Genomic DNA, 18,207 nt, shown 5'->3' with positions numbered 1-18,207 from the left:
TGCTAAGAGCTACAGATGTGCCAGAGGCAAAGACCAAAATACCGACAGCAAAGAAAGCATGAGCTACCACTGGAATACAGGCACTAAGAGGGCACCACCACCCAAACATACACATCCAGCCTTTATTTATTAACACTTACATATGGAAATAGGTATTCCCTGCTGCAGCTGATCTAATTACAGAGAAATCAATTTATACTGCATCTGCTGGGATCAGCTGAAAGCACAGGATGAGCAGAGCACAGAGCAGAAAATCAAGAGCCAATGAACAGCTCACCACAAGGCCACTGTTTTGCAGGAATAAGCTGCTGAAGTTTAATGCTGCCTGAGCTGACCCTAGACTCACACCCATTCTCCTCCAGCCCTGCAAGTTCCATTTCCTAAAGCATGAACTAAGATCATCTTCCCAGAGGAGGGACTCAGTTCTAACCCCTCCTGGGGCTGCAGGCACCTGTCCTTCCAAGTCAAGCAGAAGGCAAGGTATCATTACACTGTTGGCAGCTATTAAACCACGAGGAGACTTTGATTCCTAATAGTTGTGGGAGATACCTGGCATGAAGCTACACCTTTAATGGCCAATCTCTTCCTAGGCCAAACTGTCATAACCACAACAATAACTCATAAGATCTAAGTACCTCAAAGTACAATGAGTACCTCTTGCCCTCAAAATGTGCCCCTTCGCTCTTTGGTAGCCGGCAATAGAACACTTCGTAGATATGCCATGAAATTTAGCCCTTTGTTCTACCAGAGACCCAACAGCACCATTTATCCCATCAAGAACCGTACTCAATCTACATTATCACCAAAGGCGTATTGTTTATCAACTATTATGAGTCTGATGATGAAATGCCAGTCAAGCTGGGAAACAAATAAAGGTCTGATGCCAATCTCTACCAACAAGTGTCTGAGGTGGGCAAAGACAAGGTGGGAAGGTCTCAACTCAGACTACAGAAAGTTCATTCTACAAAGTAGCTGCCCCCAACAACAAATATCCTGTTCCACAATGTCCAGGCCTGCTGTAAATGAGTCTGTAGGGGAATCCTCTAATTTGGAAGAAAACCACATTATCATTACCAGCTGCTCTGACCTTGTAATTGGTCATTACCCACACACTAATGAGCCTCCCACAGAGTACACATAGTATTTGGCAGTTAGTCCAGGGCAGTTCTGACTGGCAGTCAGTGGGCAGCCATATCTGGCCACCTCTTACCTTTTCAGACTTGACTTTCTTTAGCAGGCGACACTCATTCTCCCCTTCCTCTGGCTCCGGTTTAGTTCCCAAAGGATTGAGCGCTGCCCCAGGCTCAATAGCTATACTCCCAAGTGGCTCCACAGCTCCTGTATCCACCCCTGCACTTCCATCATACTGACCACCCCGTCCTCCCAAGGGAACTGGCTGGAGGACCCCAGGATCCTTTTCTGAACAAGTCCCCACTCCTTCGCTTCTCTCCTTCTTGCTCTTAGATGAGCTGTTCTCCTTCTCCTTTTTGGAACCGGCTACACTGCGGGATGCCTTAGCCGCCTTCTCTGAGCCCTTGGGAGCAATAGCAGCAACCAGGCCTCCAGCATTGGCACCATCTCCTGAGCGCCCCTGCACCTCTTTCTTGCTAGCTGCCCCCTCACTTGGAGTGAACAGGGAAGTCCCTGGAGTGGGTTTGCTAGTGTCTTTGCCACTCTTACTCCTTTTGGATTTTGATTTGCCTTCCTTCCCTTGAGGACCTGGCACTGGGGTCACAAACTTGATGTTGTCTGGTAGTGTGGCCACAGCATTGGGAGCCGGTATCCCCACCTCCTTTGAGCCTGACATTTCCAGTTTCTGCTGGTCCTTTTCCAGATCGGCGTCCAGGTCAATGATGAGATTCCCTACTCCAATGTCCCATTCATCCCCACTGTCGTATGTCTCAACCGGGTTTGCATCCACTCCTTTCCCTCCGGAGGCTCCACTGCTCAAGGACATCTTAGAGTCAACGTCCCACCTCAAGATTCAAGGCTCTTCCTTGCCCCCAGCTTTCCTATTTTCAGCTTCAGCTATGTTCTCAGACCTGCCACATTGGTCAGTACATGCCCAGTGGACAACATCATTGCTGGAAAAAGAAAATTTAAAAAGCTGTTAAAAGAAACAATACAGGCAAGAGACGCCTGAAATAAACTCCCACACAAAAACAGACCCTTCCTATGGGGCTATCATATCACAACAGACATGACAAACAGGTTCAATTGTATTTCTAACCAAGTTACATTGGACCTAAGGAAAAATCAATTCCCACTCCATCTCCCTAGGGGAAAGTACAGTATTTCCAATTGCCCAGAGATTCCATGGTAAGTCTTAACTAGGAGTCCTCTAGAGTTAATTTCCCACTCCTAAGAGACCTATTTCTACTACCACTGTCAGCTGGCAACCCTTCCTCAATCAATACAGGTCCTGGCATATCACAGATGCAAGCTCTAGCACAACTTTACTTATACCCCCATTTCTCCTTGCTTTTTCTTACATTATCAGAGACGCAGAACATGATCTAGCAAAAGCTTTAAAAACTCTCTAACAGGGTCTATCTCTAGTACAAATAGTATAGATTCCTCCTACTATTGGGAAGGAAAAGTCTTATGGTTAAGAATGAAAGAGAAAAACAAGCAGAACTGGGGAAAATGCAACTTCAGGACAGGGGGCTAAGACTTGAACTAGAGGAGACAATCTCAGAGGGGACTCAACCAATCAGCTTAAGTTCAGAGAAGCTGAAACAGCCTTCTAAAACTCCAGGTTTCAAATTATTATCTCAATAGCAGGATTCAAAGTGGCCTTTCCCACTTCCCACTAAAATAGGACGACACACAAATAAAGAAAAATGTTTACTCTATGAAAAACTGGACACTACTAAAAATCCTAACACCAGGATGTAGAATAACTCTTCACTTTCTCATGTAATACTGATGGCACTGTATTGACAAACACCAGGCCTCACACCATAGGAAACAGAGATTGGCTACAAAAGGGGGTGGTGGTGATGGGGTATTAAAAGTGCAATTTATGGCCAGGTGCAGTGGCTCACATATGTAATCCCAGCACTTTGGGAGGCAGAGGCAGGCTAATCACCTGAGGTCAGGAGTTCAAGATCAGCCTGGCCAATGTGGTGAAACCCCGTCTCTACTAAAAATACAAAAATTAGCCAGATGTGGTGTCAGGCACCTGTAATCCCAGCTACTCGGGAGGCTGAGGCAGAAGAATCATTTGAACCTGGGAGGCAGAGGTTGTAGTGAGCTGAAATCACACCACTGCACTCCAGCCTGGGTGACAGAGTAAGACTCTGTCTCCACTATCTCCTGACTAACAAGACTTGAGGAGTGTGCCATCTAGAAAACCTGGCAGTCAACATATACCATCCAGTATTATTTTATGATAAAGCCAAAGAGTTCTGTTCTTGCTTATTCCTCTGTCCACCACCTTTCTCTATCCATTAAAAAAAAAATTTTTTTTTTTTGAGTCAGAGCCTTGTTCTGTTGCCCAGGCTCAAGTGCAGTGGCGTGATCTCGGCTCACTGCAACCTCTGCCTCCCGGGTTCAAGCAATTCTCCCACCTCAGCCTCCCAAGAGGTTGGGATTACAGGCGTGCACCACAATGACTGACTAACTTGTATTCTTAGTAGAGACGGGGTTTCACCATGTTGGCCAGGCTGGTCTCAACCTCCTGGACCTCATGTGAGCTGCCTGCCTCGACCTCCCAAAGTGTTGGGATTACAGGTATGAGCCACCGTGTCCAGCCAAAAAGTAATTTTTATAAGGTAATTGAGTAGAAAGAACAAGCCAGTAGTGTCACAGTGAATTCTGCAAAGTGGATCTCTAACTTTGTAGAGATCTGTAAATGCCACAGATAGGACACAGACAAGACAAATTGTACTTTTTTACCTATTCCCTCAGAGCAATGTCAAAGAACTAGGGTGTAGGGGCAAGAAAAGATGTCACAGTAGAAGAGCAAAGGAGGGGAGCCAGGTGAATGCCTGCTAGCAACAGGAATTTAAGGGGGAGAGGTGTGCACATTTATCTGCCATTTAGCTGTAGATGTGGGAAGAAAATATATCCATTACCCAAGTGGAGATCTTAGTGTTAACAGCAACCAACCACTATTTATTAGTAAATGCCAAGTCTACATAGATCCTACTTTATAAGAGATGAGCAAAAAGTGGGGGTGGATGATATGATGTACAAACTATGAAAAAAGTTACTCACAAGGTAAAGGAAACATAATCTCTTATGAAATGATAACTCTAGGCCAGGCATGGTGGCTCATGCCTGTAATCCCACCACTTTGGGAGGCCAAGGCGGGAGAATCACTTGAGCCCAGGAGTTTGAGACCAGTCTGGGCAACATGGCAAAACCCTGTCTCTATAAAAAATACAAAAATTAGCCGGGTATGATGGTAATGCTTGTAGCCCCCGCTACTCAGGGAGCTGAAAGGTGGGAGGATGGCTTGAGCCTGGGAGGTCGAGACTGCAGTGACCTGAGATTGTGCCACTTCACTCCAGCCTGGGTGACAGAGCGAGACGCTGTCTCAAAAAAAAAAAAGAAAGAAAAAAAGAAATGAAACTCTGAAAATGATCTAGGATTCTGAAGAAATTAGTAACCTGTTTGGAATTCTCAACACTACACAAGAAGACTTGGCCTCCATGAAATAGCATAGTAGATACCTATTCATTTGTTAGAAAATCTTTTATTTATTGCCTTCAACGTGCCAGGCACTAAACTAGGTGCTGAAAATACAGCAGCAAGTAAGACAGTGAGTAAGGCAATGGAACATGGTACTGAAAATAATTTTTCTATTATGAGGGGCAGAGGGCATCTCTAGGAAAGGAGATGCCAACTGAATTTCCATGATAGAGAATTCTTAAAGCACAGTTCTTCCCCAAATCATAATTTTTTAGTTCTCTAATCTTTGCAATTGTGGCTAGGCTTAGAGTGTAACCTACATTAATCTAAGGGTTACTCACTATCCTCAGTATGTAATTTAACCATTAAAACAACCCCACCTTGTTTTATCCCTAGAAAAACAATAAAACTTTCCTTAGTTTCAAAAGACCTTCCTCTAGAAAATAGAATGGTAACGGAAGAGAGACTCTGGAGGAGTAAGGAAAGCGTATGAAACAGAAAAATGTTAGTGCTCACTGAGAGCTTCTGACAGTTCTCAGTCTACTGTACTGCCTGCCCTGCTGCAGGATGCATGATAAACAAAGTATGCCAGTAAGGAAGAGAGCATTAAAAAGATAACAGAGGCCAGGCACAGGCTCATGCCTGTAATCCCAGCACTTTGGGAGGCAGAGGCAGGAGGATCACTTGAGGTCAGGAGTTCAAGACCAGCCTGGCCAACATGGTGAAACCTCATCTCTACTAATAATACAAAAATTAGCTGGGTGTGGTGGCATGTGCCTGTAATCCCACTTACTTGGGAGGCTGAGGCATGAGAATCACTTGAATCTGGGAAGAAGAAGTTGCAGTGAGCCAAGATCACGCCACTACACTCCAGTCTGGGTGACAGAATGAAATTGTGTCTCAAAAAAAAAAAAAAGATAACAGGTTAAAATGAAAATGTGTAACTTAGTTGAAAGGACAAAAGGATTTAACACTAAAAAAAAAAAAGATACAAGGAAACAAAAAATGCAGTATCAATTAAAATTCATAAAGAAAGTAGTCCACAGTGGCTAATCCCAGCACTTCTGGGCCTCCACCTGGAGGCCCAGGTGGGTGGATCGCTTGAGGATCAGGAGTTTGAGATCAGCCTAGCCAGCATGACGAAACCCTTTCTCTACTAAAAATACAAAAATACGAAAATTAACCAGGTGTGACAGTACATCTTATAATCTCAGCTACTTGGGAGGCTGAGGCAGGAGAATTGCTTGAACCTGGGAGGCAGAGGTTGCAGTGAGCCAAGATTGTGCCACTATACTCTAGACTGGGCGACAGAGCGAGATGCCATCTGAAAAAATTCAACCAGCAAACAAAAAAAACTACCTGAAATACTAAAATCAGTTCAATGTAGCATAAATTTAAATAATTCCTATAAATACAAATATCAACTGCACTTTGTAAGCTGAAAACTCAATTCAGATATTAACAATTATCCCTGAATAATATGTGAGGGAAAACCAGTACTTTGATAATGTACCTCAAAAAGCCTTAACAATAAGGAAAGACAAACCGTAAGTTATAAAGCTGATATTTTTTCAAATTCCTCTTGTTCCAATTCCATATGCCATGGCAAATTGTTTTGTTTTTTGGGATTTTTTTCTAGTAAGCAAGTGATACTGCCATTACACTTTTTAAAAATTGTACTTTTTCTGAAACGGTAGCTGGAGGCGAAAAAAACATCTGATGATCTATGCTCATTTCCAGATTCCACATCTTAAGTGTGATATTAATAAACTGAAAGGATGTACTACAGAGCACAGTATGGTACAAGACTGGGAAGCCATTTCTTAAGAGGAAAGACCTTAGAAACTGGGATTCTTTGGTCTGGAAAGGAGAACACTGAAGGAAGACAGGCTGTTAGCTTCAAATATATGATGATGCCAGGCAAGGTGGCTCATGCCTGTTCTCCCAGCACTTTGGGAGGCCTAGACGGGTGGATTACCTGAGGTCAGAGTTTAAGACCAGCCTGGCCAACATGATGAAACCCCGTCTGTACTAAAAATACAAAAAATTAGCCAGGCATGGTAGCGGGAGCCTGTAATCCCAGCTACTTGGGAGGCTGAGGTAGGATAATGGCTGGGAGGCAGTGAGCTGAGATTGCACCATTGCACTCCAGCATAGGTGACAGAGTAAGACTCTGTCTCAAAAAGAAAAAACAAAAACAAAAACATATATATATGTATATGATGTGTGCAGTGTGGAAGAAAGTAACTCTGTGACTCTGAGGGTAGAAAGAGAGTCAGTGAGTAGAAGTTACAGAAAGACAGATATTTAACTCAGGAAAAAATTTAATATCCTGATTCCCAACAATGACCCACAATGTTTAATGTCTATTTTACTGAAAGTATTTAAGCAGAAAAAGCATAATCACCTGTGAAGCAAATACATAAAAGATTCTCCTGTGTGTGGTAGGGTTAGTCTAGACATGCCTAAGGCCTTTTTCAAATTTATAATTCTATTAATATACCCATCAAAAAGTGCTTTCCCTACTAGAAAGCTACTCCAAAATTTCTGAATGACCAGGATGCAAAGAAAACATATCCCAAGGACTGATCTTTGGTGGTCCTGATGTTCTTTTAGGAAGTCCCTATATTCCTATTTTTGAGAGTGAAGAGTTTTCGTAAGTACTACTTTTCAACCAGGTGACTTTTCAGAAATCTAGGTTTCCAAACCCAGCAGGCTTCATAGTAACTTTGGTGGTACATTTCCAAAGATACACTGTAAAATTGCCAAGGATTCTTCAATCAGCCTGGCTGCAGCAGCCAAACCACTTCCCATCTGCTCCCTACAGCATCCCTGGCTTTATGCAGCTAATAATCAACTCTTTGACAGGTCATTGCAGAGATGTTTAACCCCAAGAGGTGGGGTAACCAACATGCTAGTGGGAAACGAAAAGCACTGACCTCTTGCTTTCATGGCAGAGAAAGTGCGGAATCAGGAGAACCAATATCTTACAGAGACCACAAGGCATTTAACAACTTGCACAAGTTTCTGTGATTATTTTCCTTTCTTTTCTCTCCTTCTGCCTAAGTGTACTCCACTTCCTTCTTTAGGACTGCAACTCAACAGCCTCTGGAATCACTTGTCCACCATGAGTTGTCAGTACTATCTGTGTTTTGTTCCTACACCTGATCATTAAGAAATTCCTTGCTACATGGATATGTTTAAGGGACCAAGATAGGTCATGACAATCACTTTCCATACCCTGTATTTACCCAAAGCACTCCTGCTTAAAAAACATATCATAATAACATCCATCTCTTTGACTCCCAGCCCACAGGCTTGTACATTGTAAATCATACATTTCAGGTCATTAATTGCAATTTTAAGGACTTATGTCACAGACCATACAACTCTTCTACCTCAGGAATGAACAAGGCCTCTCCTTCGACAAGGGTAAGAATGAAAAAGAGTTTTCATGTGAGGTTTCTGTCCCAGCTCAGAGGGCAAAAACAGCAACTGGACCCCACTCATATCCAAACATAACAAGAAACACTACATTTCTCTTTCACCCCCGAGAGATCTCTGTATCCATCCAAGAAGGCTTCAAAGAGCCAATTCCTTTAATTGGTAACTACCCACAGATAATCCAGTATAAGCAGTAAATTGTCTAATACTGTTCTACTGTAAATTTATCTGTCCTCTTTTTCTTATGGATTTTGGATCAATCCTCTTATAGGCTTTGGCCTGAGCATGTGACAGTTATATATGAATTATAATCTGCTTGAGACCACACAGGTCACACACAAAATATGGATATTAGGGCTGTCTAGCTAGGTATTCCCCTCCAAAACCTGCATGCCAAAGAAAAAATGCTATACTCAATTCGAGGAGGGTAGCATGGTGTAGTAAAAAGAACAATGAACTCTGAGTCAGGAGATGTGATTTCTGGACTCAAATTTCCATTGACACTAGCTAAGCTGCTTCATTAAGTATTTTCTCATTATAAGATGGAGGAAGAGTCTATCACATTCTAAGCATATCATGAGGATATAAATCTGAAAAATGTAAGACAAGTCAAAGCTGGGTACAGCACCTCACGACTGTAATCCCAGCACTTTGGGAGGCCGAGGTGAGAGGATCACTTGAGCCCAGGAGTTCTAGACCAGCCTGGGCAACACAGCGAGACTCCATCTCTATTTATTTAAAAAATAAAAATAAAAAGAAGACAACTCGAAAATATATGACCCAACTACTCTTATAAGGTTCTAGTGTATGAACTTAGGGAGAACTGTTTCATGGTTCTACCTTTCACAAGGCATCTAAAGTATTAAGAAAAATAAAGGAAAATGTTTAAAAAATTTTTTTTTACAAATTAAATTACAGGTTGTACCAATACCCATTTGAGTTCTATGAAAGGAAATGGCAATCTTTTCTTCTTCCATGAACTCAGTGATTAGGGTTTTCCTTTTAGGCTATGCCTACCTTCACATGTGGCTTTTTTTCTTCTTCTTTTCTTTGAGACAGAGTCTCACTCTGTCACCCAGGCTGGAGTGCAGTGGCGTGATCTCGGCTCACTGCAACCTCCACCTCCTGGCTTCAAGCAATTCTCCTGCCTCAGCCTCCCAAGTAGCTGGGATTACAGGCATGTGCCACCACTCCTGGCTAATTTTTTGTACTTTTAGTAGAGATGGGGTTTCGCCATGTTGGCCATGCTGGTCTCGAACTCCTGATCTCAGGTGATCTGCCTGTGTTGGCCTTCTAAAGTGCTAGGATTACAGGCATGAGCCACCACGCCTGGCTCGATGTGGCTCCTAAAGCCATATACTGTCGTGACTGACAGACTCCATCTTGCTTCAGAAATCCCTCAGGGACAAGGTACCAATCTCAAGACTCATGGTTTTATTTATTTATTTTTGAGACGGAATCTTGCTCTGTCGCCCAGGCTGGAGTGCAACGGCACAGTCTCAGCTCACTGCAACCTCCACCTCCTGGGTTCAAGCGATTCTTCTGCCTCAGCCTCCCGAGTAGCTGGGATTGGAGGGGCGCCACCATACTCGGCTAATTTTTTTATTTTTGAGAGGGATGGGGTTTCACCACGTTGGCCAAGCTGGCCTCAAACTCCTGACCTAGTGATCTGCCCACCTCAGCCTCCCAAAGTGCTGGGATTACAGGCGTGAGCCACCACACCCGGCAAAACTCATGGTTTTAACATCTGTACTACCTCTTTTGCCAGTTGTTCTAACCCACAAGGTTGTTGATCCCACTGACAATATAAACTGTCTTTGAATATAAACTGTGTGAGGTTTACAGGATTTGATGTCTCAGGGAACTGTCAATAAACTAATGGGATACAACAAAGTTGCTGAGAAGGTAACCATATTATACCATCTTCCCTGAATTCTAGATGTTGCCCTGAAATCAATTCATACTTAGCCAGCTTCAGTATGGTTACTACAACATGTAAACCATCCTCAGTGACTCTCAGCTTACCCAACTATAAAAACAGGCATCTCCCTCTCTACCTGCCACACTTCATGGGAGCTTGCTAATCAAATGAATTTCCACCTAGGGCTCTAATGAGAAACAATCACCTTCCCTTTGGGCCTCTCCCTTAATTTATTACATTAATTACTGTAACAAAGGAACTGTGTCATCTCCTCAAGTACCATAGCTTTCAGCTTATATCTCCAATGGAGATTAGATAAAGAACAGACTAAAAGAGCCAATTTGAGAAGACAGATCCAATTCAACAGGGCTTATCTGACCATGTGTCACCTAAGGACAGGAGAGCAAAACAGCAGCATCTCTTAGTCCCTGAGTCTTTATATGCTGCAACTCATCAATAGTTTTATAGTCCTCAAAGGCTGCTATTCTCCAACAAAGATTACAAGGCTTGACCTGTTTCATTTCACATAAGCAACTGACTCTTCCATCAGCACATAGCAATTCAACTGGGCTCAAGTTCAGATCCTTGTTGTTTGTCACTACTGCTCTGTGCCAGCATGTATCTCACAATAGGCTAAATGGTATCCTGAATATGTAAATAATTCAGTCCTGACCCTTTAGAGATTCATTTGGTGAAAGTGATCCACATAGAAAACCCTTACTAAATCCTGTGTATAGCTAGGCCAAAAAGCAGAGGCAGATTATCTGAGGTAAACAATTAAAAAAAAACTACTAGCTGGGGGCTGGGCACGGTGGCTCATGCCTGTAATCCCAGCACTTTGGGAGGCCAAGGTGGATGGATCACCTGAGGTCGGGAGTTCGAGACCAGCCTGACCAACATGGAGAAACCCTGTCTCTACTAAAAATACAAAAACTAGCCAGGTGTGGTGACACATGCCTGTAATCCCAGCTACTAGGGAGGCTGAGGCAGGAGAATCACTTGAACCCGCGAGGTGGAGGTTGCAGTGAGCCGAGACCGTGCCATTGCACTCCAGCCTGGGCAACGGGAGCAAAACTCCGTCTCGAAAAAAAAAAAAAAAAACAACTACTGGCCGGGTGCAGTGGCTTATGCCTTTGTACTCCCAGTACTTTGGGAGACTGAGGCGGGAGGATTACTCGAGCCCAGGAGTTTGAGACCAGCCTGGGCAACATAATGGGACCCTGTCTCTACAAAAATAAAAATAAAAAATTAGCCAGATATGGTGGCAAATGCCTGTAGTCTCAGTTACTTGGTAGGCTGAGATGGGATTATCTGTTGAGCCCAAGAGGTTGAGGCTGCAGTGAGCTGTGATCATGCCACTGCACTCCCGCCTGGGTGACAGAGCGAGGTGCTGTCTCAAACAAGTAAATAAAAATTTAAAAATAAGCTCTGCCATGCCTCTTCCCCTCATAATTGGATGGCTATGTAGCTCTTTAGAAGTTCTTATCCCCAGAGATAAACTTTTTGTGCTAAGGAGGTGGTAATGTCAAATTGTTAGAAAAAAAGTGGCTGGGCATGGTGACTCATGCCTGTAATCCCAGCACTTTGGGAGGCCGAGGCGGGCAGATCACCTGAGGTCAGGAGTTCAAGACCAGCCTAGCCAACATGGGGAAACTGTCTTTACTAAAAATACAAAAATTAGCCATGCATGGTGGCGGGTGCCTGTAATCCCAGCTACTTGGGAGGCTGAGGCAGGAGAATCGCTTGAATCCAGGAGGCAGAAGTTGCAGTGAGCTGAGATCACGCCTCTGCACTCCAGCCTGGGTGACAGAGCGAGACTCCGTCTAAAAAAAAAAAAAAAAAAAAGTGAATAATGGAGATGGTAGCATTCAAAACATCTAAAAAACTAGGCTTGTGCCAGGCACAGTGGCTCCTGCCTGTAATTCCAGCACTTTGGGAGGCCGAGGCGGGTGGATCACAAGGTCAGGAGTTCAAGACCAGCCTGGCCAAGATGGTAAAACCCTGTCTCTACTAAAAAAAAATTAGCCGGGCGCGGTGGCAGGTGCCTGTAATCCCAGCTACTCAGGAGGCTGAGGCAGGAGAATTGCTTGAACTTGGAGGGCGGAGGTTGCAGTGAGCCAAGATCGCGCCACTGCACTCCATCCTGGGAGAGAGAGTGAGACTCCATCTCAAAAGAAAAACAAAAAAACAAAAAAAAAAACACAAAACTAGGCTTGCACACAGAACTGTTGTGTAAAATCATTAATTTTCCTTTTTTTTTATTTTGAGACAGGGTCTCACTCTGCCACCCAGGTGGGAATACAGTGGTGCAAACAAACACAAGCTCACTGCAGTCTTGACCTCCTGGGTTCAAGGGATCCTCCTCCTGCTTCAGTCTCCCATGTAGCTGGGACCACAGGCATGCACCACCACCATACCCGGCTAATTGTTTCTTTCTTTCTTTCTTTCTTTCTTTCTTTTTTTTGTAGAAACAAAGTCTCTCTTTGTCACCCAGACTGGTCTCAAACTCCTGCGTTCAAGAGATCCTCTCACCTTGGCCTCCCAAAGTGCTGGAATTACATCACGCCTAGTTCTTCATCTCTAAACATGGTCAAATTCATAGTCTCAGGGAAAGGAAAAAACATTTAGCATTTTTCAGAACAGACAAGGAATTGCCTTCATTTTTTATATTCTAGACCTTATCTCTCCCTTCCCAGATCTATTCTACAAGAAGCCCTAGAGTAAATCTGAGGGGACAAAGAAAACTTCTCTTATCAAAAAATATAAATAATGTTAGACTAGCCACAAAAAAGGGTGGGATTCACATAAATATCCTTAAAGATACCTAACACTACCTCTCCAGCCATGAGGTATGGCCACAACTGCCACCATTTTGCTTCAAGGATGTCACATTTGTTTCCTGCACTACACTGCAAGCACCCACCCTGAGGGCAGAGGCTGTCTCTCTTGTGCTCACCATTGAAGAACCAGTGTTTGGTTTACAGTCCACCTTCATTAAGCATTTTGGTCAACAAATGAGTGAATGAACACTGTTCTCCTCAATGAGCAGAATCATATCAATGCCCCGCTGGCATTTCTCCTCTCCATTCTTACTTCACCTTGATTTGTCACTAGTTATAAACTCTCTCAATTAGCAGTCAGCTGTCAAATCTACTAGATCAGAGTGTGGATTCCTTTCTCCAGAAAAAAGAATTCAGATTCATTAAGAATCTAAGGGAAAGTTTAGAAAACAAAGCAGCTTCCATATTTCTTAAAATTCCTAACCATTTCTGCGTATTCCTAGCCTTGCAACAGTCTCATTCATGCATAGTTGCTTCCCAAAAAAGGACTAGTCCACAAACTCCTGAGAGCCCCCAGGTATATATTTAAATGTATAATAAATGTAAAAGTTCTATCAGACTTAAACCATCCAAGTGTCACACTTAAAACACCTATGAATTGGCTGGGTGCGGTGGTTCACGCCTGTAATCCCAGCACTTTGGGAGGCCAAGGTGGGTGGATCACAAGGTCAGGAGTTCAAGACCAGCCTGGCCAATATGGTGAAACCCCATCTCTACTAAAAATACAAAAAAATTTAGCTGGGCGTGGTGGCGCTCGCTTGTAGTTCCAGCTACTCAGGAGGCTGAGGCAGAAGAATCACTTAAACCCAGGAGGCGGAGGTTGCAGTGAGCCGAGATTGTGCCACCGCACTCCAGCCGGGGCGACAGAGCAAGACTCCGTCTCAAAAAAAAAATTAAAACAAAAAACAAACAACAAAAAAAAAACACCTGTGAATCAAAGGTGAAAAAAGCAGTCATGAAAAGTGGTCATGCTTGGGGAGAGGGATACCAACTGGGAAGAAACACGAGGGAATCTTGCAGGGTGCTGGAAATAAATGTTCTATATCTTGAACTGGATAGTGGTTACATATCTGTATACACATGGAAAAACTGAGTTGTGCACAAGATTCGTGCACTTACTGTACTTTACTACATACATATTATACTTTTTAAAAAAGTAAAATAAATACCTATGAACAAGAGAATTGTCTTGCTATAACATAGTCCTGATCCTAAAGCAGTATTATATGTAAAGGGAATCATGCCATTAATCACCACAGATTAGGCTATTTAGAGAGATAACAGGATGGGAGGGATGGAGGGAGACAGTAAGAAACTAACTTACAGATTACTTGATGTTTGACTATGAGATTTATAGATCTGTTGGAGAGTCTGAAAAAAATTAATCAGAAATAGGGATATAAAAACAAATCAAAAAAAATTAAGTAATGATATTAAATCCTGGGGGGAAAAAGTTGCACCAAAAATGTAATAGTAGTATATCAAACGGCTCAATAATAAACATTATTTACTCAGCACAATAAATAATGAATATCGACCTAACCAAAAATTGTGACATAACTATATTGGGATGATTCGATACGAAGAGAAGGGCAGTAAGAGAACACATTATTATTTAGAAAAATGGGAGTAAAGGCCAGGCGTAGTGGCTCACACCTGTAATGCCAGCACTTGGGAGGCCAAGGCGGACAGATTACTTCAGGTCAACTTGGCCAAATGGCAAAACCTGCCTCTACTAAAAATACAAAAAATTAGCATCGCATGGTGACACATGCCTATAGTCCCAGCTACTCAGGAGGCTGAGGCATGAGAATCACTTGAACCTGGGAAGCAGAGGCTACATTGACCTGAGATCATGCCACTGCACTCTGGCCTGGGTGACAGAGCAAGACTGTGTCTTGAAAAAAAAAGCTGCCCCACTATTTGACTTTTAATACAAAGTTCATAGGAAACCAAAAATAATTTATCTATTATTTGGATAGACAAAACAATTTTTTTTTTTTTTTTTTGGAGACAGAGTCTCACTCTGTCACCTGGGCTGGAGTGCAGTGGCACGATCTCAGCTCACTGAAACCTCCACCTCCCGGGTTCAAGTGATTCTCCTACCTCAGTCTCCTGAATAGCCGGGACTACAGGCGCACGTCGCCACACCCGGCTAATTTTTGTATTTTTAGTAGAGACGGGGTTTCACTATGTTGGGTAGGCTTGTCTCGAACTCCTGACCTCAGGTGATCCGCCTGCCTTGGCCTTCCAAAGTGCTGGGATTACAGGTGTGAGACAACGTGCCTGGCCGATAAAATAAACTTTAAATAATTTTAGGAAAAGTCAAGGATATACTTCCTCAAATACTCCTGTATTCCCTTAACAGGTTATTATATAATGTACCAATCCAATAATTTATCAAAAATCTTATTGTGGGAGATGGGAGAAGGGGACAGTAGAAAGGATGTGGGTGTGGCTATAAAAGGACAACATGAGGGACATTTGTGGTGATGGAGCTGTCTGTATCTTGACTGTGGTGGTGAAAATAGTATGACTCTACATGTGATTAAGTCTGCACAGAACTGAAAACACATATATACAAAAGTGATTATGAGTAAAATGGGGAGGTCTGAACAAGATAGATGGCTTATATCAATGTCAAAATTATGATATTGTACTTTAGCAAGATGTTACCACTGGAGGAAACTAGGTCAAGGGTACAAAGGATCCCTCTGCATTATTATTACTATTTTTTGAGACAGTCTTGCTGTTTTGCCAGGCTAGAGTACAGTGGCGCTATCATGGCCCACTACGGTTTCCACCTCCTGGGCTCAAGCAATCCTCTCAGCTTCCAGAATAGCTGGGACTACAGAGGTGCATGACCATGCCCAGTGAATTTAAAAAAAAAAATTTTGTAGACAGGGTCTCACTATGTTGCCCAGGCTGGTCTTGAACTTTTGGGCTTAAGTGATCCTCCCACCTCAACCTCCCAAAGTGTTGGGGTTATAGGCATGAGCCACTGCACCCAACCCCACTGCATTATTCTTACAACTGCGTAAGACTCTATAATTATCTCAAAATAAAAAGTGTAATTTAAAAAACATGCAAACACTTTATCTTCCATTTTTAAATTTCTACCGCCGTTAAACATATTTTATTTATTTACTATTTATAAGAGTAGCCCAATCATTAAGCTAAAATCACTTCTAACCTGAGTGTTCCATATCTAATACAGGATCCTAAGAACTGGTGATCAAGTCTATATGTTCTTTTCATCACTTGACATTATATTCCCTTTGTCTTTAAAAGCTGAATTTTTTTTTTCTTTGCATGTATTCATTAAAGCCTTCACCTTCTTTGGTCATCAGCTTTGATAAATACTTCTTCGGGGTCAACAGAATACACAGTATCACAAATATAAACAAACCTTGGTTTTACACAGATGGAAGTTTATTTTTATCTTTGTTTATTTGGTACTGATTCTCTTCCTAATGATGCCCAGCATTTCCGTGGCAGTACACTAAGTTAATTTTGCGAGGAATATCTTACCAAGATTCCTAGTTTCTTTCACTTTTTTTTTGAGACGGAGTCTCGCTGTCGCCCAAGCTGGAGTGCAGTGGCGCAATCTCGGCTCACTGCAACCTCCGCCTCCCGGGTTCAAGCGGTTCTCCTGCCTCAGCCTCCTGAATAGCTGGGACTACAGGCAAGCGCCACCATGCCCAGCTAATTTTTGTATTTTTAGTAGAGATGGGGTTTCACCATGTTGGCCAGGATGGTCTCGATCTCATGACCTCATGATCCGCCCGCCTCGGCCTCCCAAAGTGCTGGGATTACAGGCATAAGCCACCGCATCCAGCTTTTTTTTTTTTTTTTTTTGAGACAGAGTCTCACCCTGTTGCCCAGGCTGGAGTGCAATGGCGCAATCTTGGCTCACTGCAACCTCCACCTCCCAGGTTCAAACGATTCTCCTGCCTCAGCCTCCCGAACAGCTGGGATTACAGGCACGCGCCACCACGCCCAGCTAATTTTTGTATTTTTAGTAGAGACGGGGTTTCACCATGTTGGCCAGGCTGGCCCGGAACTCCTGACCTCGTGATCCGCCCACCTCTGCCTCCCAAAGTGCTGGGATTACAGGCGTGAGCCACTGTGCCCGGCCAAGATTCTTAATTTCTACTGGGGGCTGCAATTGTTAGCTAAAAATTACACATCCTAAGAAAGTAGTTTAGACTTTCTCCCTCTTTTTAAATGCAATTCTTATCCACACTGAAGCTCATTTACTTTTCACCTCAGTCAAGATATTCCTGAAGCATAATCTCAACAATTTGGGGACCTAACTACCTGGAAGAGTTTAATGTCATAGGAAAATCTCAATATTTCACTTATGTGAAACATTTATTAAAATGTCAAATAAGATGAATGTCACTAAACTCTTCCACATAGAACTTATTTATCATCAAGATGGTCTTTGGAGGCAATGTCACCAGGACAAAAAAAAAAAAAAGGAAAGAAACTGAAACAGCACCCTCTGATCAAACTTGTTAATATTTGATTAACAAGGAAGCAGCACAGTGCAATGGGGGAAAAAAAAACACAAAACCAAGTAAGCAGGCAGAAAAACTCAATTCTACTATTTACTCTCCCTAGATGTGTAATAACATTGGGAAGTCACTACAGCTATTTGGGCCTCAGTTATTTCATCTGTGAGAAGCTGAAATAGCCAGGTGTGATGATGTGTGCTTACAGTCCTGGCTATTCTGGAGGTTGAGGCAAGAGGATGATTTTTGAGCCCAGGAGTTCAAGGCCAGCTCAGATAATTAATACACCTTATATAGTAGAGTGTAATGCTGTCAGTAGACACTGAAACAGTGCTGGGCATGGTGGCTCACACCTGTAATCTCAGCACTTTGGGAGGCCAAGGTGGGAGGGTCATCTGAGCTCAGGAGTTCAAGACCAGCCTGGGCAACATAGCCAGACCTTGTCTCTACTAAAATAAGAAATGTAGCCAGGCGTGGTGGTATGCATCTGTAGTCCCAGCTACTCAGAAGGTTGAGACAGGATGATAACTGGAGCCCAGGAGGTCGATGAAGCAGTGAGCCATGATTCTGCCACTGCACTCCAGCCTGGCTGACAGGGTAAGAACTTGCCTCAAAAAAAAAGAGGCCAGGCTTGGTGGCTCACGCCTGTAATCCCAGCACTTTGGGAGGCTGAGGCGGGCAGATCACCTAAGGCTGGGAGTTCGAGACCAGCCTGACCAACATGGAGAACCCCGTCTCCACTAAAAATACAAAATTAGCTGAGCGTGGTGGCACATGCCTGTAATTCCAGCAACTCAGGAGGCTGAGGCAGAAGAATCACTTGAACCCGGAAGGTGGAGGTTGCAGG

The 18,207-nt window shown here is 43.2% G+C and overlaps 1 protein-coding gene across 5 annotated transcripts in view; it reads right to left on the bottom strand.

Moving 5' to 3' along the window:
- Positions 1–18,207, bottom strand: part of ZNF609 (zinc finger protein 609) — a 226,491-nt gene that overhangs the window by 184,692 nt on the left and 23,592 nt on the right. For all 5 annotated transcript variants that reach the window (XM_047432263.1, XM_047432265.1, XM_017022021.2 and 2 more), the window contains exon 2: positions 1,211–2,084. In XM_047432263.1, the coding sequence (XP_047288219.1) occupies positions 1,211–1,957 (747 nt within the window). In that variant the 5' untranslated portion in view covers positions 1,958–2,084. The remainder of the gene's footprint in view (positions 1–1,210; positions 2,085–18,207) is intronic.

Source organism: Homo sapiens, chromosome 15 (assembly GCF_000001405.40).
Source record: "Homo sapiens chromosome 15, GRCh38.p14 Primary Assembly".
Classification (NCBI taxonomy): Eukaryota; Metazoa; Chordata; class Mammalia; order Primates; family Hominidae; genus Homo; species Homo sapiens.
The sequence above is the reverse complement of the archived record's forward strand: the minus strand, read 5'-3'. Positions and strand labels throughout refer to the sequence as shown.